Genomic DNA, 22,513 nt, shown 5'->3' on the forward strand with positions numbered 1-22,513 from the left:
GGTAACCTGTAATCCCAGCTACTTGGGAGGCTGAGGCAGGAGAATCGCTTGAACTCGGGAGGTGGAGGTTGCAGTGAGCCAAGACGATGCCACTGCACTCCAGCCTGGGCAACAAGAGCAAAAACTCCATCTCAAAAAAAAAAGCTACCCTACCTTCACTAGACAGAGCAGGGCGAGAGTTCCATGGTCCCCAATAGGTAGGGACTAGGCCTCAAGGCAGCATGAAGTAGTTACAGAAAAAGAACATTGGTCCCTCTGCCTCCCATAAAGATTTATGGGGATCACATCTCAAAGTGGGGAGATGAGGCAGGAAAATAGGGTCTGGAGGCAGAGAACATCAGGCCGATTCACACTTCAGCTATAACAGGAAATATCCTCTCCAGAGGGTGTAGGCCAAGTAAATGACTTTGTAACTTTACTTCATCCTCTCCATTTACATAGGGCATACCCCAAGTAACCAATGGAATCCTCTAGAGGATATTTAAACTCGCCAAAATTCTGTAACCGGGCCTTTGAGCCCCTATGTTCAGGCCCACTTCCATACTATGGAGTGTACTTTCATTTTCAATAAAACCCTTCATTCCTTCCTCGCTTTGTTTGTGCGTTTTGACCAATTCTTTGTTCAAGATGCCAAGAACCAGGATACCCTCCACCATTAACACCAAGAATATGAGACCAGCCTGGGCAACATGGCAAAACCTCATTTTTTACAAAAAAATTAAAAAATTAGCTGGGCATGGTGGCACGCACCTGTAGTCCCAGCTACTCTGGAGACAGAGGTAGGAGGATCACTTGAGCCTGGGAGGTTGAGGCTACAGTGAGCTGAGATCACACGGCTGTACTCCAGCCTGGATGACAGAGTGAGACTCTATCTAAAAAGATAAAAAGTTTTTTAAAAAATAATAAATTAGCTATACAGGGACACAGTAAGTGAACAAGCACATAACAGGACAGTGAGGAACTTCTAATAATCAAAAAATGCAGGCCAGGTGTGGTGGTTCACACCTGTAATCCCAGCATTTTGGGAGGCCAAGGTGGGAGGATCACCTTGGTTCAAGACTAAGAGTTCAAGACCAGCCTGGGCAACAATAGTGAAACCCCGTCTCTACAAAAACAAACAATTAGCCAGGCATGGTGATATATGCCTGTAGTCCCAGATACTCGGGAGGATGAAGCAGGAATATCACTTGAGCCCAGAAAGCAGAGGTTGCTGTGAGTTGAAATAACACTACTGCACTCTAGCCTGGATGACTGAGTGATACCCTGTCTTGAAAAAAAACAAAAATTTTAATTTCTAGATCACCTGACCTGGTGATCCACCCACCTCGGCCTCCCAAAGTGCTGGGATTACAGGCGTGAGCCACTGCACCCGGCCTCCCTTTTTTTTTTTTTTTTTTGAGACAATTTCTTGCTCTGTATCCAGGCCTGAGTGCAATGGCACGATCTTGGCTCACTGTAACCTCCACCTCCCAGGTTCAAGTGATTCTTCTGCCTCAGTCTCCCGAGTAGCTAGAATTACAGGCACGTGCCACCACGCCCAGCTGATTTTTATATTTTTAGTAGAGATGGGGTTTCACCATGTTGGCCAGGCTGGTCTCGAACTCCTGGCCTCAGGTGATCCGCCCACCTCAGTCTCCCAAAGTGCTGGGATTATAGGCGTGAGCCACCACACCCGACCTAGGCATTGGTTTTATTGTCACACTTCAAAGTGCTCTCACAAAGCTAAACATATACATAACAGAGTATACCGGCTATAATTTGCTATCTGGTATAGATTTCTCAATCCATCTCATTCTGTAACAAGCCTCTCAAAATTTAAAGTACCCTTGACACACTGTGAGTTTTAAGAAATGGGTAGGAGAAACAGTACAGCACTGTAGGAGACCCAGGTTTGAGTCATAACTCTGCCATCCCTGTTTGTGTCAAAAGCTCTCTAACACTAGTCTCCTTATCAATAAAATGTGGACACACATCACCTATCTTTCAGGGTTGTGAGAATTCAGAATCGAACCTATTCTGCAAGAGAAGGCAATGTAATCCTCATTAAAACTGTTCTTTGAGGGTTTGAGCATTTAACATCATGACTGTCTATGTTTGCCCAAGTTCATCCTGCTACTAATTTGTTATTAATTTACAGTGTAATCCTGGGATGACACAACCTCTCTGGACCTGAGTTTCTTCATAAAATGAGGTCCTTTCTTTCATTAACATTTTAGGATCCCACTTGTTTGAAGAGGACGTTTCAGTACCACCTGTCAATCGTCCATAAAGCAATCTTCTGTTTCACATGTACACAAAGAAAAAATGTAAAAATTAATCCGTTTTATGCAATACACATATATTGGAAGGTAATATACAAAGTAATGGAGTAATCTTTCTATTTACCGAACTCTTCTTGTTGTTTGCATAAGTGCCAGTAGCTGTATACAAATTAATCAGGTCTATATTCTAGAGGGGGTTCCATGACTCAAGCAATAGAGAACAAGAATAGAATACAACCTCAAAAACTAAAAAATGGGCTGTTCTGTTTTGTGTTTATAACTTGTCTCTAAACACTGACTTTTAAGTGTTTGACAGAGCACCCCTACTGAGCCTTTGCTTCCAGCCATAGTACATTGCTTGGTAAAGCAGTTGCTTCATGAACCATCCCAGAATTGAGCAAATAATGTGACAGGATACTGTGCAGGTGCTGAAGATAAATGTTTGTTCAAGGGCTGAATGAACAATCAGAGGTTATTCATAACCTGGGCATAACATAAATATTTTATGGGTTCCATGGACATAAAAGCAAGTAGATGTGAAGCCATATATAGAATCTGTATGTTGTTTTCTCTTTCTTTAAGAGGAATCTCCTAAACATAAGCTAAGTTTCCAGCAAGCTAGGAAAGAAATAAAGATTTTTTTTTTTTTTGGCCCATAAAAAGACCATTATCAGCAACTTAAAAAAAAAAAGTCCTATAATAAAGAGAGGAAATGCTTTACATATAAATACAGTACATTAGAAACAAAACCATAGCAACTAACATTTCCTGTTCCAATCAGTAACTCTAAACTATCATCACCCACTTTAGTAATCTAATCACAAGACTTTGGAAAACTTAAAGGTAGTTTCTCACCGGGAAAAGGTCATAGACCTTTGTTCCAGTGGGTATGACTTATACATCTTCACTAGTCTAAATAATTTCAATTATTTAAGTCACATTAAATCACATTAAATGTGACTAAATGATATAGTCACATTAAAAAGCAAAGCTAAAACAACATTTAAAGCAATCCAATCCTATATTAATCAAATTTCTTTTGTAAAATCAATTCTAGGCTGGGCGCGGTAGCTCACACCTGTAATCCCAGCACTTTGGGAGGCCAAGGTGGGCAGATCACGAGGTCAGGAGATCGAGACCGTCCTGGCTAACACGGTGAAACCCCGTCTCTACTAAAAATACAAAAAATTAGCCGGGCGCGGTGGCGGGCGCCTGTAGTCCCAGCTACTCCGGAGGCTGAGGCAGGAGAATGGCGTGAACTCGGGAGGCGGAGCTTGCAGTGAGATCGCGCCACTGCACTCCTGCCTGGGCGACAGAACGAGACTCTGTTTCAAAAAAAAAAAAAAAAAAAAATCAATTCTAAAATGCTATTTAACCTTAGAAATACTCAAGAGTTGTGATAAATCTAAGAAATCATCTTAATGAAAAAAGAAAACAAAGCATTTGACGAAGTATTATCATATGCTGTTTACTGAAAAGCAATCAAAGCCCTAAGTGAAAGCAGCTGCAGGCTACTGAATGAAGCCCCAAACAGGAAAGCTTCCTTATTACTGTAGTTTTCTTTTCCTTTGACCTCAAAAAACTGCAGATCATCACCAACAGAAATGTAAAGAAAGTGCCTAGCGTGGTGGCTCACGCCTGTAATCCCATGCCAGCACTTTGGGAGGCCGGGGCGGGCATATCACCTGAGGTCAGACCAAAAAAAATACAAAAATTAGCCAGACGCAGTGACGCACACCTGTATTCCCAGCTACTCGGGAGGCTAAGGCATGAGAATTTGAACCCGGGAGGCGGAGGTTGCAGTGAGCCAAGATCGCGCCACTGCACTCCAGCCTGAGCAACAGAGTGAGACTCAATCTCAAAAAAAAAAAAAAAAAAAAGAAAGTTAATTTTTCCTAGATATATCAACTATCTCTTGATACTTTTCCAGTTTTCTTACATTGAAACAAGTGGAAAATATTATACTGTCACAATATTATACTGTCACAGTCCTCTGTATGTTAACCAATTTGATATTCAAGGGTCATGTTAAAGGATAGCACATCACCATCAGAAATTAGTGTTTAGCAAGCAAAATCCATTCTCTAAGCTTTCTATAGTGTGCTGATTATACAAACCTAAGTATGAAAATTGTTTTTAGAAACTACAACTTGATGACAAGCTCTTTTAAAACTAAACAAACAACAAAGCATGCTGCTGAAATGAGTAATGATCACGGACTGAAAATTTTTCACTGTGGACTAAAATCCTGGAAATGGTTTGTAGCTCTAATCCCAGAGACACTAAGGTTATAGTGTCTCTGGCACACATTTATTGATTTGAGCTTCTATTACCCTCAGGAAGATTTGAAGTCCCAGTGTTATGGGGAAAAATTTCCCAGTCTGCTCTGAATTATAATCTGTTCTGCTACAGTACATGTTTCTGTAACATCAGATAACTCACATACGACTAGTACAGTACAGGAGCTATATTCCTTCATATGGGATATTTCATCATTTAGGGGAGCAGATTAGTGGGAAAATAATTAGGTGACCCTTGAAAACATGGGTTTGAACTGTGCAGGTCTACTTATACATGGATTTTCTTCTGCCTCTGCCACCCCTGAAACAGCAAGACCAACCCCTCCTCCTCCTCCTTATGATTTTCTTCCCTCTAGCTTACGTTACTATAAGAATACAGTATATAATACATATAACATACAAAATATGTTAATCGACTGTTAATGTTATCAATAAGGCTCCAGTCAAAAGTAGACTATTAGTAAAGTTTCTGGGGAGTCAAAAGTTGTACACAGATTTTCAACTGCCTGCAGGGTGAGGATGAGGGCCTGGGGGCAGTACTCCTAACCCCCAAGTGGATCAAGGGTCAACTGTATCACCTTCTGCAGGAAACATCTCTCAACTCAGCTGCTATACAGGCAGAAGTCCTTTTAACTCTATTTTAAGAAAATCAGAAATTCGCATTTGTACCCAGTCTCCCTCTTCAGAGAAAGGCACCTCCAGGGTAGCACAGCTCTCAGCCAATGTGGCAGGTGGCACTGGCCCTACACTGCCTCAATGGCAGCCCACACTGTCTGTATTACATCAGCACCTACTGCTGACATTTCCATTCAACTTTGTCCATGCTTTGTTCATGTCCCCTCGGGCAGCTTCCAGTGAAGCTGAGCTGCCTGCCTGTCTGGGACATCCAAGTTATTCCCTCAAGATGCCAAGTATTGTGTTTGTTAGTGCTTGCTTACTAAATTGCATACATTTTAAGTGGTCTGACTCAATAATATTTTCCTATAAACCATATTATTTTGCAGTTTTTCAGAAACATATATAATACATGCTGACCAAAACGCTTGTATTAGTAAAACTTCTATTTCTCATAACTATTGATCATAACTACTATTTTTTCAACATTCCAATTTATAAAAAGTATATATCCTCTATCAAGTACATCTTCTAGAACACATAGCTTAAATTACTAAATTTGAGCATTTGGGGTTTGTTCTTTTAAAAAAAAAAAGAGGCCAGGTCCGATGGTTCACACCTGTAATCCGAGCACTTTGGAAAGCTGAGGCAGGAGGACTGCTTGAGGCCAGGAGTTCAAGACCAACCTAGGCAACCTAGTGAGACCCTGTCTCTACTAAAAATTTAAAAATTAATCAGGCATGGTGGTGTGTGCCTGTAGTCCCCACTATTTGGGAAGCTGAGGCGGGAAGATCACTTAAGCCCAGGAGTTCAAGGGTACAGTGAACTAAAGATCATGCCAGCCACTGAACTCCAGCCTGGGCAACAGAGCAAGACCCTGTTTTAGGGGGAAAAAAAAATCTATCTTAGCTCCTATGTGCCATAAATGTTACAACACTCATAGTCTGGAGGAATCACAAAGTCTTTAAGAAAATGGAGACAGGACCTATAGTGATCACTACTCACAAATCACTAGAATCACATGCTGAAACACTGCTGCAGAATATCAATGTGTGGTCTGTTCCCACTGCCATTAACCCAACCATGACTTTCTCTGCCTGTCCTGGTATAGACCATTTAGTTCTTGTTAAGCACAGTTTTCATTATTTTCAACCTTTACCAACCAAAAACTACTAAAGAAAAAGTTAATATTCTAAGGAGTACAGTTAAGAGATATCCTAACATTCTCACTGAATCAGCCAAATATAAAGGCTAACATGTTAAACAGGCTAGAGCAGTTTTCTTCAAACTAAAGCAGTAGGGCCCTGGAGTTAACAAGACAACTTTCCAGGAGGTTAGGATAGTTTAAGGAGAATCCGGTTAAAGGTGGTCTGCTTCCACCGTACTCCCAGAGCTTGATCTGTCTGAGAATTCTTGTGGTTTGCTGGTTGTCCTTCCCATCCTCCCTTATAAATGTATTCACTTCTCCCACATTACTTCCTAATCTTACAATTGTTCATTTCCCAGACAGGTGCAGTGGCTCATGCCTGTAATCCCAGAACTTTGGGAGGCCAAGGTGGGTGGGTCACCTGAGGTCAGGAGTTCGAGACCAGGCTGGCCAACATAGTAAATCCCCTTCTCTACTAAAAATACAAAAATCAGCCGGGTGTGGTGGCAGGCACCTGTAATCCCAGCTACTCGTGAGGCTGAGGCAGGAGAATTGCTTGAACCCAGGAGGCGGAGGCTACAGTGACCCAAGATTGCGCCACTGCACTCCAGCCTAGGTAACAGATCAAGACTCCATCTTGAGAAAAAAAAAAAATAGGAGCCGGGCTAGGTGGCTCACACCTGTAATCCCAGCATTTTGGGAGGCCGAGGTGGGCGGATCACGAGGTTGGGAGTTTGAGACCACCCTGGCTAACATGGTGAAACCCCATCTCTACTAAAAATACAAAAAATCAACAGGGTATGGCGGCGGGCACCTGTAATCCCAGCTACTGGGGAGGCTGATGCAAGAGAATCGCTTGCAACCAGAAGGCAAAGGTTGCAAGGAGCCAAGTTCGCACCACTGCACTCTAGCCTGAGGAAAAGAGCGAAACTGTCTCAAAAAAAGAAAAAAAAAAGGAGTATATTTTTTATATATTCACAGAATATCTCAGGAGAGATGCATAGGAAACTGCTGACACTGGTTGTCCCAGGGTGGCCGAGGCAGGGGTGGAAGGAAGACTGTGTCACCAACTACCTTTTTGTATCTTTTGTGTTTTCAACCATAAGGATGTATAATCTATTTTATTTACAACTTAAAATTCATATTTTCCAAACTCCCAAATACTTTAATTAGTATATTGAGATGCAAAAAAAGTCCTTTTAGGCCAGGCGCGGTGGCTCACACCTGTAATCCCAGCACTTTGGGAAGCTGAGGGGAGAGGATCACGTGAGGTCAGGAGTTCAAGAACAGCCTGGCCAACATGGTGAAACCCCGTCTCCACTAAAAATACAAAAATTACCTGGGCATGGTGGCGTGCAACTGTAATCCTAGCTATTCAGGAGGCTGAGGAATGAGGATTGCTTGAACCCAGGAGGCAGAGGTTGCAGTGAGCTGAGATCATGCCAGTGTACTCCAGCCTGGGCAACAGAACAAGACTCCATCTCAAAAAAAAAAAGTCCTTTTTAATTCTAAGTTGTAAGTATCTGAGGATACAGCAAAAATCTAAGAAAATAATTTAGTTGCTACTGAAAATAACATACAGCTTAAAATGTGTGGCTGGGCGCGGTGGCTCACACCTATAATCCCAGCACTTTGGGAGGCGGAGGCAGGCGGATCACGAGGTCAGGAGATCGAGACCATCCGGCTAACATGGTGAAACCCCGTCTCTACTAAAAAAACAAAAAATTAGCCAGGCGTGGTGGTGGGTGCCTGTTATCCCAGCTACTTGGGAGGCTGAGGCAGAAGTATCACTTGAACCCTGGAGGCAGAGATTGCAGTGAGCTGAGATCGCGTCATTGCACTCCAGCCTGGGCAACAAGTGCAAAACCCTATCTCAAAAAAATAATAAATCAATAAAATAAAATAACAAATCAATATATAAACAACTGTTTTTTAAGCATTATTTGTGTGCCCAGCACTGTGGTTTAAAAGTGGGAAAAAAATGTTTTCAAGACACATGAACTGTCTTTCAGGGTGAATCTAATTCCTAACATAAACCAAAAAACTGCCCACATTTTGCTGAAAATAACATGCCATGGAAACATCATCAGCAGCAAAGAGATGGGCAAATATAGCCCAGTGATTATAGACTAATATGACTTTATTTTTTAATGAATAAAACAAGATTAGGCCAGGCGCGGTAGCTCATGCCTGTAATCCCAGCACTTTGGGAGGCTGAGGCAGGCAGATCACCTGAGGACAGAAGTTCAAGACCAGCCTGGCCAACATGGTGAAATCTTGTCTCTACTAAAAAATATAAAAATTAGCCGGGCGTGGTGGCACACACCTGTAGTCCCAGCTACTCGGGAGGGCAAGGCGGAACAATTGCTTGAATCCAGGAGGCAGAGGTTGCAGCGAGCCAAGATCGCGCCACTGCACTCCAGCCTGGGCAACACAGCGAGACTCCATCTCAAAAAAAAAAAGAAAAGAAAAAAGATTAAAATAGCACACTTCTGATTCAAATTATTATTATTATTATTATTATTACTATTATTATTATTATTATTTTGAGACGGAGCATTTGCTCTGTTGCCCAGGCTGGAGTACAATGGCACAATCTTGGCTCACTGCAACCTCCACTTCTTAGGTTCAAGCAATTCTCCTGCCTCAGCCTCCCATGTAGCTGGGACTACAGGCGCCAGCCACCATGCCCCACTAATTTTTTATTTTTAGTAGAGACAAGAATTCACCATGCTGGCCGAGCTGGCCTTGAACTCTTGACCTCAGGTGATCCAGCCACCTCAGCCTCCCAAAGTTGATTCAAATTATTTTAACAATCTATTTTTAATTTTCTCAACTCTCAACAGGAATGGTTACAACGTTATCCAAGTGAGGTACTTCAGGGCGTGTCTCACTGTTACAAAAGCCTATCTTGGTTACAAAACCTGGTCTTTTCTTTCCCACCTTGGGATGCCAGTAGGGAAAGGATACTTTTGAAAGGTATGTTAAAAATGTCTCCTCCTGAGATAAGGTCAGTGGTTCTCAGTCTATGGTAGGTCTCCTTTTGTAGTATATACTGTAATACTAATTGGCACTTATCAGATTCTTCTTTATTGTTACCTTTTGTCTTAATGCAGGTGTCATGTCCCATTTCTCTGTAAGATAGAAACATGTCTGCACATGGAAAAAGTTCAAATATTCCTTGACAAACCAAAAGCCAATGTATCACTTCAAATGTCTCATCAGAAGACAGATGGTAGCCCAGGCATCTTGGCTCATGCTTATAATCAATCCCAGCACTTCGGGAAGCTGAAGTGGGGGGATCACTTGAGGTCAGGAGTTCAAGATCAGCCTGGCTAACATGGTGAAACCCCACCTCAACTAAAAATACAAAAATTTAGCTGGGCATGGTGGCACGGCCTGTAGTCCCAGCTACTTGGGAGGCTGAGGCAGGAGAATCGCCTGAATCCCAGAGGCAGAGGCTGCAGTGAACCGAGATCGCACCACTGCACTCCAGCCTGGGTGACAGAGCAAGACTGTCTCGGAAAAAAAAAAAAAAAAAAACAAAGAAAAGAAAAGAAAAGACAGATGGTATATAGGCCCTAGTGAGGAAGAATTTACAAAACTTACTTATAAATCTTACTGTTTCAAGAACTATTCACAATGTGTCTGACTTGACCCAATAGATGCTTTTCCTTAAAAACACATCTTAAAATCTTTTTTACAAATTGCAATTTCCTTACATAGGTAAGTTCAAAAATACTTATATTCAATTGAGATTTTTTTTTCTTTTGAACAGGCTGTCACCTAGGCTGGAGTGCAGTGGCGCCATCTCAGCTCACTGCAACCTCTGCCTCCCAGGTTCAAGAGATTCTGGTGCCTCAGCCACCAAAGTAGCTGGCGTACACTACTACACCCGGCTAATATTTGCATTTTTAGTACAGACTGAGTTTCACCATGTTTTCTAGGCTGGTCTCACATTCCTGGACTCCAGCTATCTGCCCACCGCGGCCTCCCAGAGTGCTGGGATTACAGGTGTGAGCTACCGCGCCAGGCCTAAGATCGACTTTCTTTTTATTTTTTTTTTTGAGATGGAGTCTTGCTCTGTGGCCCAGGCTGGAGTGCAGTGGCACGATCTCGGCTCACTGCAACCTTTGCCTCCTGGGTTCAAGCGATTCTCCTGCCTCAGCCTCCCGAGTAGCTGGGACTACAGTCGTGCGCCACCACACTCAGCTAATTTTTTTTTTTTTTTTTTTTTTTTGGTAGAGATGGGGTTTCACCATGTTGGCCAGACTGGTGAACCGCCACCGCGCCCGGCCAAGATTGACTTTCAATTTACAACAGCTTTTAACTAACTTCTAGCTATTTGACTTGGGAAGTCAAGAAGCAAATAATTTCTAAACATCCATTCAGATGCTCAAGGATGCCCCTGGAAAGTACAGTGATAGTACGTTATCAATTTCCCCTGAAATTACAACTTTTTTTTTTTTTTTTTTGAGACGGAGTCTCACTCTGTCACTGAGGCTAGAGTGCAGTGGCGTGATCTCGGCTCACTGCAACCTCCGCCTCCCGGGTTCAAGCGATTCTCCTGCCTCAGCCTCCCGACTAGTGGGATTTCAGGCGTCCACCACCACACTCGGCCCACAACTTCAAATTTTTAAAAATGCATTATATAGCAGGAAATGTAAACTAATGCATCTATCCTCTTTAAGAAATTAATCTGGGCCAGGCGCGGTGGCTCACACCTGTAATCCCAGCACTTTTGGGAGGCCAAGGCAGGCGGATCACTTGAGGTCAGGAGTTTGAGACCAGACTGGCCAACATGGTAAAACCACCCCACCCCCACCCCACCCCCAACTCCGCCTCTATTAAAAATACAAAAATTAGCTGGGCGTGGTGGTGGGCACCTGTAATCCCAGCTACCTCAGAAGGCTGAGGCAGGAGAATCGCTTGAATCCGGGATGCAAAGTTGCAGTGAGCCAAGATTGCACCACCACACTCCAGCCTCGGCAACAGAGCGAGACACCGTCTCAAAAAAAAAAAAAGAAAAAGAAAAAGAAGAAAATTAATCTGGCCAGGCGTGGTAGCTCATGCCTGTAATCCCAGCATTTTGGGAGGCTGCAGTGGGCAGATCACTTGAGGTCAGGAGTTCGAGACCAGCCTGGCCAACATGGCGAAACCCCATCTCTACTAAAAATACAAAAATTAGCCAGGCGTGGTGGCAGGCACCTGTAATCCCGGCTATTCTGGAGGCTGAGGCAGGAGAATCGCTTGAACCTGGGAGGCGGAGGTTGCAGTGAGCCAAGATGGCGACATTACACTCCAGCCGGGCAACAAGAACAAAACACTGTCTCACACACACACACACAAAGAAAAGAAATCAATCTGAAGTCTTCCTCTGTTCAGGACTTCTAACTCAGAGACAAATTTTCAGACAGGCAGAGGCAAATTTCTCTAAATTTTAGGTTTCTAGGATTGATGATTAAGTTGAATGTAATGTTTAAGCTGTAGAAAGTATGCCTCTTTCCAAAAGCCTGTAGCTGGCCACAGATTAGTTCTGGGTGAAGCTTACTAATCATTAATGGATTTATGAAATTCAAACTACTTCAGAGTAAGCCTCCTGACAAGTAGGGAAAAAAATCCAGTTTTCTCATTCAGTTCTTTCCACCAAGCTAAAATGAGGATTCAATCTCAAATTGATGTTCCAAACTATCAGATAGTTTTAAATGATTCTAGAAGTTGAAGTGGAAAAATATAAATACAACAGCTGATAGTAATTCAAGACTGGCTTATGTCAAACAATTGCATTTCTAACCTGAGTTAATTCAATAACGTGAAATTTGAAATAAGATTTTTTTATCTTAAGTTTAAAATCATAAGGTTCTATAATATTGGATGTCAGTTGGTTGCAGTTCTCACCTATTTGAAAAAAAAATTGAAACTACTTGTCGCTAAACCATGGTAACTCAAAAACATTAAAGGCAAATATCTACTAAGGCACTATATTTCATTTCATAATTTATTTCTCCATCCCCCAAAAAAGGCATCACCTAGTTATTTATAGGACACTATCACTATTGCAACATAACAGAAAAATCTTAACATCATTGATAACTGTAGCATTTTAGTGTGTAAAATCTATATTAGATTTTAGGTGTCAAATCTATACTAGATTCTAATAGTGCACTCTACATTCAACCTCTGATTTAAAGAGTTTCATTTTAACCCAGCATTGTTTAAATTAATTTTAGGATGTGTTATGTCAGTCAAGATATACTTGCTTCTACTGAGAGACTTCTATTAAATATGCATTCAAGTATATATTTTACAAGGCATGACCTTGCGAGCCCTAAAGAGTGAGACTAAACTGCAGCTACAAATAAATGGTGCAGGAAATCAAAGCAAACTATATTCAGAGTCTAAATCCAAAATATGCATTCTGGTTCTTAAATTCCAGGTTTGGAAAGAAATGCCAACAGTAATAAATAAATAAACTGCTTTGAAAGCATCTCAAATTCCTCAAAAGTGCTTAAACAAAAGACTCAGCTTTGAGTACAACCTTAAGCTATCTCAAAACAAATAAACACACTTGATAAGGCTTAGAATGAAATTACCTCAGTCACTCACTGGAATGCAACAATGCATTCGCAAAGTTATTCTGAAGTAAGCTACTCCAACTAAACCACACTGAAAAGGAGAGAACGTGGATAAACTAAACATGTTTTGTGAAATACCTGTTTTGTATTGGCCTGAGTTTTTTAAAAGTTACATCTCATTCATTATCAGTATTTAATCTGCAAGAATATCATCAAAGGATGTCAATATGGACAAGCAGAGACAAGAAACATCAGACTTTCAGGGAGCCTATCTTCACAACCCTGAGTTATTAACTGAAGTTCTCAAAGTTAGATGAGTTAAGATACAGACAACGTGCTTTGCACAAATGCTTTGCTTATAGTAACCACTCAATAGTCATTAACAAGAATTTATTAACTATCCACCAAAACACAGTTTCAAACCCTACCGACAACTAACCACAAATTGCACCACTTTTCGGGCCGACTTCTACGGACGGTGCACAGAAGCAATAAATACACTTTTAAAACTCCCCAACTTGAAGACCAAAAAGATACAATAACTTAAACTGCTTTCAAAAACTACTGGAGTGTCATGCCTACAAATTCAGAACCTGGCTTAAAAGCTAGTTAACTGACTAGAATTCTTGGTAGACCCAAAGCCAACTAAATCAGGAACACTTAAAGGTCAAAGGCGTCCAAGCCGGGAGCGATGTGCTCCACTGTTACATGATCCCCGCCTCCTACAGGAACAGGGGACTGAACCAAAGGCAGTTGCGGCCGAAGTGCAGGCGACACACAGGGTTACACATCACCTTCGGAGATTTCCTCCAGGAATCAAGACGCTTCCCCCTTGGGTCCAGCGACTCACAGGTGACCCCGGATCTCAAGAGTTCTCGTCTCCCCCACCCCCCACTTAACCCCGCGAGCGCCGCCCTCGGCCCCCAGACCTCCCCCTGCACCCCCGGCTTCCGCGCACAGGACCGGCGGGGCCGCCGCTCCAGCCTCCACCCCAGGCCCGGGGCCTGGGGAAATGCGGCCCCGCGGCCCGCGCCCCCAGCCCGGCCCCCGCGCGCGCGGCCGGGACAGGATACTGAACACCGTCCGCTCCCAGGGCTCCAGCATGTAGAGCGCCGTGACCAGCAGGTACTGGTAGTAGAACCAGGACATCTGCTTCCAGGCCCGCGCCAGCGCCATCCCCGCCATGCGCCTCCCGCGATGCAGCTCACACGTCAGTCTGTCCGGCCGGCCGCCCGCTCACGTCCTAAAGCCCCCGGCCGCCAGGCCCGCCCGCCCGCCACCCAGCGCCCATTGGCCCGCCCGGCCCCGCCGTCACCCGCGGCACGCCCAGACCCGCGCGCGCCCCGGCCGCCGGCCCCCAGCCCCGCCCGACCCGCGCTCATTGGCCAGGCCGCTACCTCGCGTCGCGTCGTCCCCTCCCGTTTCCCCGCCCGGGCATCGCCCACGCTAGCCGGAGAACGGTCCCCGCGAGAGCGCCCAGCCGCGCCCCACCCCGCCCGGGCCGGCCGGTGGTGGGCGGGGCGTCAGTGCCGGCCGGGGTCCCGGGGCCCCCGCAGCCCAGCGGGCGCTCGGTCCGTCCAGACTGGCCCAGAGCGCTTGCGGAAGAAATATTTCTGGAACACTTGTTATGCCTCAGGCATCCTTCTGAGAAGGAGGATTGCCAGGGAGAACCGGAATGCCTTCGGTTCCTTACCTTGTGCAGCTGGCGGCCTAGCTGGGAGACAAGCATTAATCAAGTCGTGATCCGTGTAAGAGGAGATAAGGGGCTGAGAGAGGGTGAGGAGGCGAACGCCACCTAATAAGGAGGTCTGGAAAGGCGTCCTTGTAGAAGGGATGCACATTCGGCCTCCTTCCTCCCTTCCCCCACCCATGCACACACACACACACACACACACACACACACACACACACACACACACCCCTAGACGGACATAACCCATGCACTCCCTAACCCAGAGACCACTTACCAAAAACATCTATCTGCCCACCTCTTAGTGGCTGTAGGTAACCACCAAGTGGGTCAAGGCCAGAAGCGCGCTGATCTAGTGGGTTCTGCAGAAGACAGGCAGCTTGAGATTGGTGTGAGGGCTGGTGATACTTCCCTAGAGATGCACTCCTGGATGCCCAGATTTTCCCACTGCCAGATGGGCCAGCAACATTGCACTGGCCACAAGGAGCTCCATGCACTGGTGTAGCATGTGAACTGCCACAATTAAATGGCCTGCTGTTTAAATGTTAAAAGTCTTCCAGGTTAAACATACTACTGCTTAAACTTTAAAAGTTTCATGGTTAATAACTATTCATTAAAAGTACCAAGTGCCGGCCAAGCGCCGTAGCTCATGCCTGTAATCCAAGCACTTTGGGAGGCTGAGGCTGGCGGATCACTTGAGTCCAGAAGGTCGAGACCAGCCTGAGCAACATGGTGAAACCCCGTCTCTACCAAAAAAAATAAGTAAATACATAACAAAAAGTTAGCCAGGGGTGGTGGCGTGCACCTGTAGTCCCAGCTACTCAGGAGGTTGAGGCGGGAGGATTGCTCGAGCACGGGAGGTCGAGGTTGCAGTGAGCCAGGATGGTGCCACTGCACTCCATCTTAGGTGGCAGAGCAAAAGAAAGGAAAGAAAGGAGACAGAGAAAGAGAGGAGAAAACAGAAGAGAAGAGAAGAAAAGAAAGAAAACAGTAAGTAATATCAAGTGCCAGACATTGGGATAGCAAGCCAGATAGACTGAGACCTGCCTTCATAAAGTACCCAGTCTGCTGGGGAAGAGAGGCAAGTTAATGGATTACAGTGAGGTGTGGTAAATGATATTTTTGTGGATCGTATCCTTTAGGATACCAAGATAGCCCAGACAAAATCAGATTGGGCTTGTGAAAGTCTTCTGAGAAATGGTGCTTGAACTGAGTGTTGAAGGACAAGCAGAAATGGAAGAATGAATGAGCTTGGGGAAGAGAGGGTGAGACAGACATTCTAAGGATGAAGTTGTGATGTTTTTAGAAGACTGGAAGAACTTCCATGTGGCTGGAGCAAAAAGAATGTATATGCAGTAGCAAGAGATGGGCCTAGACAGCAAACAGGGACCATATTCTGAAGGACCTTGTTTGAGAAGCTAAGAAATTTTTAACTTGATGTCCAAAAGTTACTGGAGCCAACAACTTAAATAAGATTTTCTTTCAGGGCTGGGTGTGGTGGCTCACACCTATAATCCCAGCACTTTGGGAGTCCAAGGCGGGTGGATCACATGAGGTCAGGAGTTCCAGACCAGCCTGGCCAACATGGTGAAACCCCGTCTCTACTAAAAATATAAAAAATTAGCCGGGCGTGATGGTGGGTGCCTGTAATCCCAACTATTTGGGAGGCTGAGGCAGGAGAATCGCTTGAACCCGGGAGGCGGAGGTCGTAGTGAGCTGAGATCACACCATTGCACTCCAGCCTGGGCAACAAGAGCAAGACTCCGTTTAAAAAAAAAAAATGCTTTCGGAACAAGACTTGGGTGTGGGTAGTAGCCTGGAGGCTACCGAGGGAAAAAACAGGTTGGGAAGACATTACAAAGGTAGAACCCACAAATACTTGAAACCTCCTTACCCCTCAGAGATGCAGGTACACGTGCCCTCCTACTTTCAAACTTAACTGTTTTGGACTTCTTTCTGTCCCTGTTCCTGTTCAGGCACAGGCAAGCTCATTCCTTTTTCCTCGAGAACTCCAACTACCCTCAGCATCTGGTGATGCTACATAAAATTCATCCAAGATTGGAAGCATCACCCGTAGCCACCCTTCCTTTACTGGGTCCACTCCCTAGCACCATGTCTGCCAGGTGGTTGTCCTCACTGTTAGTAGCTCCCAATCCACTGCGTGTCTCTCGGAGACCAGCTCTACCACCTCATCTCACTAAAGTTGGTGACTGACTAGAAATGAGGAAAAGAGGCTGAGATCCTGGATGATGACAATACAAAGAAACCGAAGGAAGACGTTTGGCTGAAAAGATATTGATTTTGTTAGGATGAAGCTATGTCTGAGGTACCTGAGGGACACTTAAATGGAGGTGTCCAGGGGACAATTGAGCACATGGTTTGGAACTCAGAAGTGAAGCCTGAATGGAACTAGAGGCATATGAATTTTCAATATGTCCCTGGTCATTGAAGCCAGAAGAGCAGATGAGGTCACCCAAGGAAAGCACATAGAATGGGAAGAGCAGGGTACAGAATAAACCCAGAGATTCTGGCATTTGGCCAATGAGAGTCCAAAGGAAGCCAATACAGGGAAGGAGCTACCTGAGATTTGACAGCAATGAGGAGAGACATACAGGAGAAGCTAATGGAGGAAGGGATAGCCAGCAGAACAAATGGCTCAGGGAGGATAAGCAAAATAAGGAAGGGAAGCGCCAATTTGTTTTGTCCACATGGGGCTAGATTGATGACTCAGCATTTCATTGTGGAATGATGATAGGACAGAAGCCGGATTATAGAAGGCTGAGGAGAGAACAGGAAGTAAAACAATGAGGACAGTTAATTCAGGCTTAGTTTTGCAGGAAGCTTGCCTGTGAAGGGAAGGAGATAGAATGGTGGCAAGGGTTTCAGTTTGGTTTCATTTTCAGATGGGAAAGGAGTAAGCAAGTTTATGGGCTTAGAGTAAAGATATGGATAAAGATGGTGGGCTGGGGGACCAGATCCAAAGCCTTAATAAACAGGAACTGGTAGCTCTTTCCCCAAGAGGAGGAGGATGGAAAGATGGGAGCCAGATGGACATAAACACAGACAAGTAAGTTAAGGAACTCCCTACCTTACAACATCAGTTTTCTTAGTGAAAAAATAAAGGCCTCTTGTTGAGAGTGAGCAAGATGTTGAAGAGTGGAGGGTATGAAAAAGAAAAAGGGAGATGGGAGAAGTTTCCTAAAGCTGCCTAAGGATTGTCAGGCAGAAAAACCATACAGTTTTTACCAACAATACACAAGTACCGAGTATATATAGAACTAGAGAAGTTGAATTAGGAGACTTCCTCCAAGGCAGGGTTTGCTGGATGGATACAATGGAGAAACAAGCAAGAAGGTTGATGGAGAGAGAATAATTGAAATAATGACTAGGAGAATTAGGTCACGGAGGGAAGTAAATGATGAAAAGATAAAATGGAGTAGTCCAGAGCTGTGTGAGGTTGGAAACTGTAGGAGTAGGTGCATGGGAAAGAGTCTATGTTGGAGGAGGAGGGCCACGGCTGTGCTTCTGAAGCTTAGGAGTACAGAAATAGGCCAGTCTTAGACAATGACCAGGCACAGGTTGTGACCATGGGATAGGCAGCTAAAGTGGAGTGGAGGGGATAGTAAAGACCACAGGAAAGATAAAGTTGTCCAGGATGATGGCAGAACTAAGTGTCGAGAGGAAAAGTCTGTAAAGCAAATGTCAAAGTCTTCAGTGAGCATAGAGGAAAACTCAGGAGACAGGTGGATGAAGGGGGCAAAGCCCAGTGGCACATGGTTTTGGTTAGGAGGCAGTACTGGAGAGCAAGAAGAAAGCCAATCCCGCCCCACCCCCAGTCCCACCCCCAGCTCTCTGGTAGGAGGACTTAGGTCATATCCTCAGGGGAAAAGAAAGAGGTAGAGTGTTCCCAAAGAGGGTGACAGTAGAGGAGTCTTTGTTTATACAGGAAAGTGAAGTCGGGGGCAAGAGAGAGAGGGTTGGCAAGAAGGGTTCTGTTGCAGGGATGTGCCTGGAAGATGGAAATACCAGGGCAGAATGGGAAGGCAGAACATTGGTACCTTAGCAACATAGTGCTGATGGCAAAGTGGGCCAGGCTGACCTCAACATCTGACTTACAGCAGCATCAGGACAGACACCAGCAGGCCCCAAGTGGTTTCCAGGACTATGGGGCAACCACTGATTGCTGTCTAATCAGCAAACCAGGACCTTGACTCACTTTCAGTCTTTCAAATACATGTTAGTAAGAAGTCATTTTGTGCGTTAGCAAAGCTCAGCCCTGAGGTAGCAGGTGAGGCAGGTGATGGAAGCAACAAATAGCCCATGAACACTGCCCAACCTCAGGCGCTCTGCCCAGAGAGGAGAAGGGGCATAGGAAAGCATGTCAGCCCAGGGCTTCCAACCTGTTCAAAGCAGAGCCCTGGGTCAAAGCTACTGGCATAATTAGGTCTGAGTTGGGTATGCAAAAAATAAAATAAAAAAATAGAATGCCAACTGCAACAACTTAAACACACACACACACACACACACACACACACACACACACACACAGAGCCACATAGTTGTATTCATAAATAAGGTCAGTGCCTAGCTGAAATCTAATAAATAGACCTTAATTCGACCAGCATTTATTAAGGATCTAGTTACTATATATTTTCAGAATTGTGTGAAAATGCACAGTTTTTAGTTGGGTATGGACAATAAATATTTGAGACGGGCATGGTGGCTCAAGCCTATAATCCCAGCACTTTGGGAGGCTGAGGCAGGCAGATCACTGGAGGTCAGGAGTTTGAGACCAGCCTGGCCAACATGGCGAAACCCCATCTCTATTAATAATACAAAAATTAGCTAGGAATGGTGGCATGTACCTGTAGTCCCAGCTACTGTGGAGGCTGAGGCACAAGAATCGCTTGAACCTGGGAGGCAGAGGTTGCAGTAAGCCAAGATCGGGCCACTGCACTCCAACCTGGGCAACAAAGTGAAACTGTCTAAAAAAAAAAAAAAGATATTTGTATTTTTGAATTTTTGTATGCTCTTTATACTACAAGAAACATTTGCTAAATATCTAGCATTTTTTTCCAGGACAGTTTCACAGCCTCTCTTCTTAAACTGCCCAATTCTATCCAATTCTCTCTTACTCTGCACTCAGTGGGCAGCCTCCCTCCTGCTCTGCCTCTCTTGTGCTCTCCCAATGCTCTGAGATCCTCCAAACATCCTTTACAAGCCCTCCCCTTCCTCACAACCATCACCACCCTACACTTACCACCGCACATTTTCTCCCAGCCTCATGAGAGTTATCTCTAATCTGTAAAGCTATGCCCTCCTCTTGGACTTTGTCACTTTCTGTCACAGATCAAGAGTCTCCTCTCTCTCCTCTTCCACTTTCCTGCACCTAATCTTTCTGCCCTTTTTGAACTAATTCTCCCCACTTCGCTGGTCCAAATCCTTTTTTGGAATGAGAGTTACAAAATTACATTAAGCTATCTTTTCTTTGGCTGTGAAGTACCTGCAGTTGTGGTGATACCTATAGCCACCATTCCTCTCGTTGGGTACCTTAAGACCTAGTCCAACCACCCCTCCAAAACATACAAAATCTGGGTTCTCTCTCTACCCCCTACTAAAACAATTTCCTCAAGTTTACCAAAACTTCCTTCAAGCCAAATTCAATGAAGTTTAATCATCTTCTTACTCAACCTCTCTGCAGCATTTCACACTACTGAACATTTCTTTTTTTTTCTTTTTTTTTTTTTTTTGAGACGGAGTCTCACTCTGTCACCCGGGCTGGAGTACAATGGCGTGATCTCGGCTCACTGCAACCTCCGCCTCCTGGGTTCAAGCGATTCTCCTACCTCAGCCTCCCTAGCAGTTAGGATTACAGGCACGCACCACCACACCTGGCTAATTTTATATTTTTAGTAGAGACAGGGTTTCACTGTGTTAGCCAGGCTGGTCTCGAACTCCCGACCTCAGGTGATCTGCCCACCTTGGCCTCCCAAAGTGCTGGGATTACAGGCATGAGCCACCGCGCCCGGCCGCTGCTGAACATTTCTACCGTCTAAAAACTCCCCACAGTCTTGGTTTCTACCACAGTGCACTATCCAAACTTCTCCGGGAGTTCTCACTGCTCCTTGGATTCCTTTGAAAAAACCTATTTTCTTCTGCATTCCTAAAGATCTGTTGGCTCCTCTGCCTCTCCCCATTCATGCCTGCTTCCTCAGGTGGCTCAGCCCTCCCTTTGGATCCCAAATAGCACTTCAGGTCTTTATTCTACCTGCTGGCAGGATGTATTTAAATATAATTAAAATGATAACGATTATCACTAACACATTACAATCATCTGGTCCTTCCTAGTTTACAGAGTGCTTTCATTATCTCATTTCATCAGAGCAAGTACGGCTCCTATTTAATAATGGACACTGAAGTTCAAGGACACAAACTAATCTTGCACCACAAACTAACTTTTCTTTCCACCTTTCTCATTCCTGTTTATGACAGAAAGAACCTTGATTTTCAGGCCAGAAATGGCATACCAGTTTTACATCCCTTTTCCTCCCCCCACCCCTTGTTTCTGTCCCTGGGTGACAACGAGTCATTCCTCCAAGTGTCTCAGGTCTGCCTCCTTTGTTAGGATATGTCCCCATACAACCTCACTCTCAAGTGCGTGAGCTGACTATTGTCGCCCAAACGTGGCTTACCTGCTGCCGCTGGCTATCCCTGTTTATTAACCGTGGATCATCTCGTACTTTCAGATCCAAGAAAATTTCTATACTAAAAGTATTTCCAACCTATGAGAAAAAAAATGACAGGTTTTCAGAAAACTATTTCATGTTGTCTGTATCCTGAAAGTTTTCACTTGTCTTTTCAGTTCCAATTACCTGGTAGTTCCACCAACCCCTTCACTTACTGCCCACTGCCTTGTGCCCACAATACAGTGGCTGAGCCAGTGCCAAGTTACAGAAAGACCAGTGTCACATGACCTCTGCTCTCAGAGAGTCTATGGTCTAAAAAGAAATACGTTCATATGGCCTATGGAAACGATGATGTAATTAAGTTTAAGACTGTACTGGCCAGACGGTGGCTCACGCCTGTAATCCCAGCACTTTGGGAGGCTGAGGCAGGCAGATCACCTGAGGTCAGGAGTTTGAGACCAGCCTGGCCAACATGGTGTAAACCCCATCTCTACTAAAAATACAAAAATTAGGCTGGGCGCGGTGGCTCATGCCTGTAATCCCAGCACTTTGGGAGGCCGAGGTGGGCAGATCACCTGAGGTCGGGAGTTTGAGACCAGCCTGACCAACATGAAGAAACCCTGTCTCTACTAAAAAAAAATATATATACAAAATTAGCCGGGCGTCATGGCGCAAACCTGTAATCCCAGCTACTCAGCAGTCTGAGGCAGGAGAATCGCTTGAACCTGGGAGGCAAAGGTTGCAGTGAGCCAAGACTGTGCCATTGCACTCCAGCCTGGGCAACAAGAGCGAAACTCCTTCTCTAAATAAATAAATAAAAATACAAAAATTAGCCAGGCATGGTGGCAAGTGCCTGTAATCCTAGCTACTTGAGAGGCTGAGGCAGGAGAATCGCTTGAACCCGGGAGGTGGAGGTTGCAGTGAGTAGAGATTGTGCCATTGCACTCCATCCTGGGCATCAAGAGTGAAACTCCATCTCAAAAAAAAAAAAAAAAAAAAAAAAAAAAACTGTGTAAAGGGCCTACCTTTGCCAGGGGCTGTGGGAGTGATAGGGCAGGTAGCACAGAGCCAGCCCTTGAGGAGTTCATGGCCCTGTGTAGGAGACATGTGCACACAGGAAGACCACAAAATATGGGATTCCCCCTGCCTGCTAGGTTTTCATGATATTCCTAGACTGACAGCCACAGTAACCTCTGGGTTCTAGACCTGAGTCCCTCCTGCTGGGACACAGCTGAGCTA

General features: G+C 44.7%; 1 protein-coding gene across 1 annotated transcript in view, besides 6 other annotated features; it reads right to left on the reverse strand.

Annotated features, from left to right (window-relative positions):
- SPTSSA (serine palmitoyltransferase small subunit A) overlaps positions 1-14,116 on the reverse strand; it is a 29,453-nt gene extending 15,337 nt beyond the window's left edge. Inside the window, exon 1 of the mRNA NM_138288.4 lies at positions 13,972-14,116. Coding sequence (NP_612145.2) covers positions 13,972-14,083 — 112 coding nt within the window. The 5' untranslated portion in view covers positions 14,084-14,116. The remainder of the gene's footprint in view (positions 1-13,971) is intronic.
- Positions 2,559-2,853: a silencer, noted in NCBI's record as "tiled region #3929; K562 Repressive non-DNase unmatched - State 16:ElonW". NCBI's record gives its function as "represses a minimal TATA promoter and a strong SV40 promoter by Sharpr-MPRA in K562 cells {active_cell/tissue: K562}" and the evidence as "EXISTENCE:reporter gene assay evidence [ECO:0000049][PMID:27701403]".
- Positions 10,467-10,968: an enhancer, noted in NCBI's record as "H3K4me1 hESC enhancer chr14:34927797-34928298 (GRCh37/hg19 assembly coordinates)". NCBI's record gives its function as "activates a minimal SCP1, AML or CMV promoter by ChIP-STARR-seq in primed H9 embryonic stem cells {active_cell/tissue: H9 hESC(primed)}" and the evidence as "EXISTENCE:reporter gene assay evidence [ECO:0000049][PMID:30033119]".
- Positions 13,329-13,438: an enhancer, noted in NCBI's record as "active region_8253". NCBI's record gives its function as "activates an Ori minimal core promoter by ATAC-STARR-seq in GM12878 lymphoblastoid cells {active_cell/tissue: GM12878}" and the evidence as "EXISTENCE:reporter gene assay evidence [ECO:0000049][PMID:35858748]".
- Positions 13,839-14,008: a silencer, noted in NCBI's record as "silent region_5662". NCBI's record gives its function as "represses an Ori minimal core promoter by ATAC-STARR-seq in GM12878 lymphoblastoid cells {active_cell/tissue: GM12878}" and the evidence as "EXISTENCE:reporter gene assay evidence [ECO:0000049][PMID:35858748]".
- Positions 13,979-14,929: an enhancer, noted in NCBI's record as "H3K27ac hESC enhancer chr14:34931309-34932259 (GRCh37/hg19 assembly coordinates)". NCBI's record gives its function as "activates a minimal SCP1, AML or CMV promoter by ChIP-STARR-seq in primed H9 embryonic stem cells {active_cell/tissue: H9 hESC(primed)}" and the evidence as "EXISTENCE:reporter gene assay evidence [ECO:0000049][PMID:30033119]".
- Positions 14,129-14,638: a silencer, noted in NCBI's record as "silent region_5663". NCBI's record gives its function as "represses an Ori minimal core promoter by ATAC-STARR-seq in GM12878 lymphoblastoid cells {active_cell/tissue: GM12878}" and the evidence as "EXISTENCE:reporter gene assay evidence [ECO:0000049][PMID:35858748]".

This window comes from Homo sapiens, chromosome 14 (genome assembly GCF_000001405.40).
Source record: "Homo sapiens chromosome 14, GRCh38.p14 Primary Assembly".
Lineage (NCBI taxonomy): Eukaryota > Metazoa > Chordata > Mammalia > Primates > Hominidae > Homo > Homo sapiens.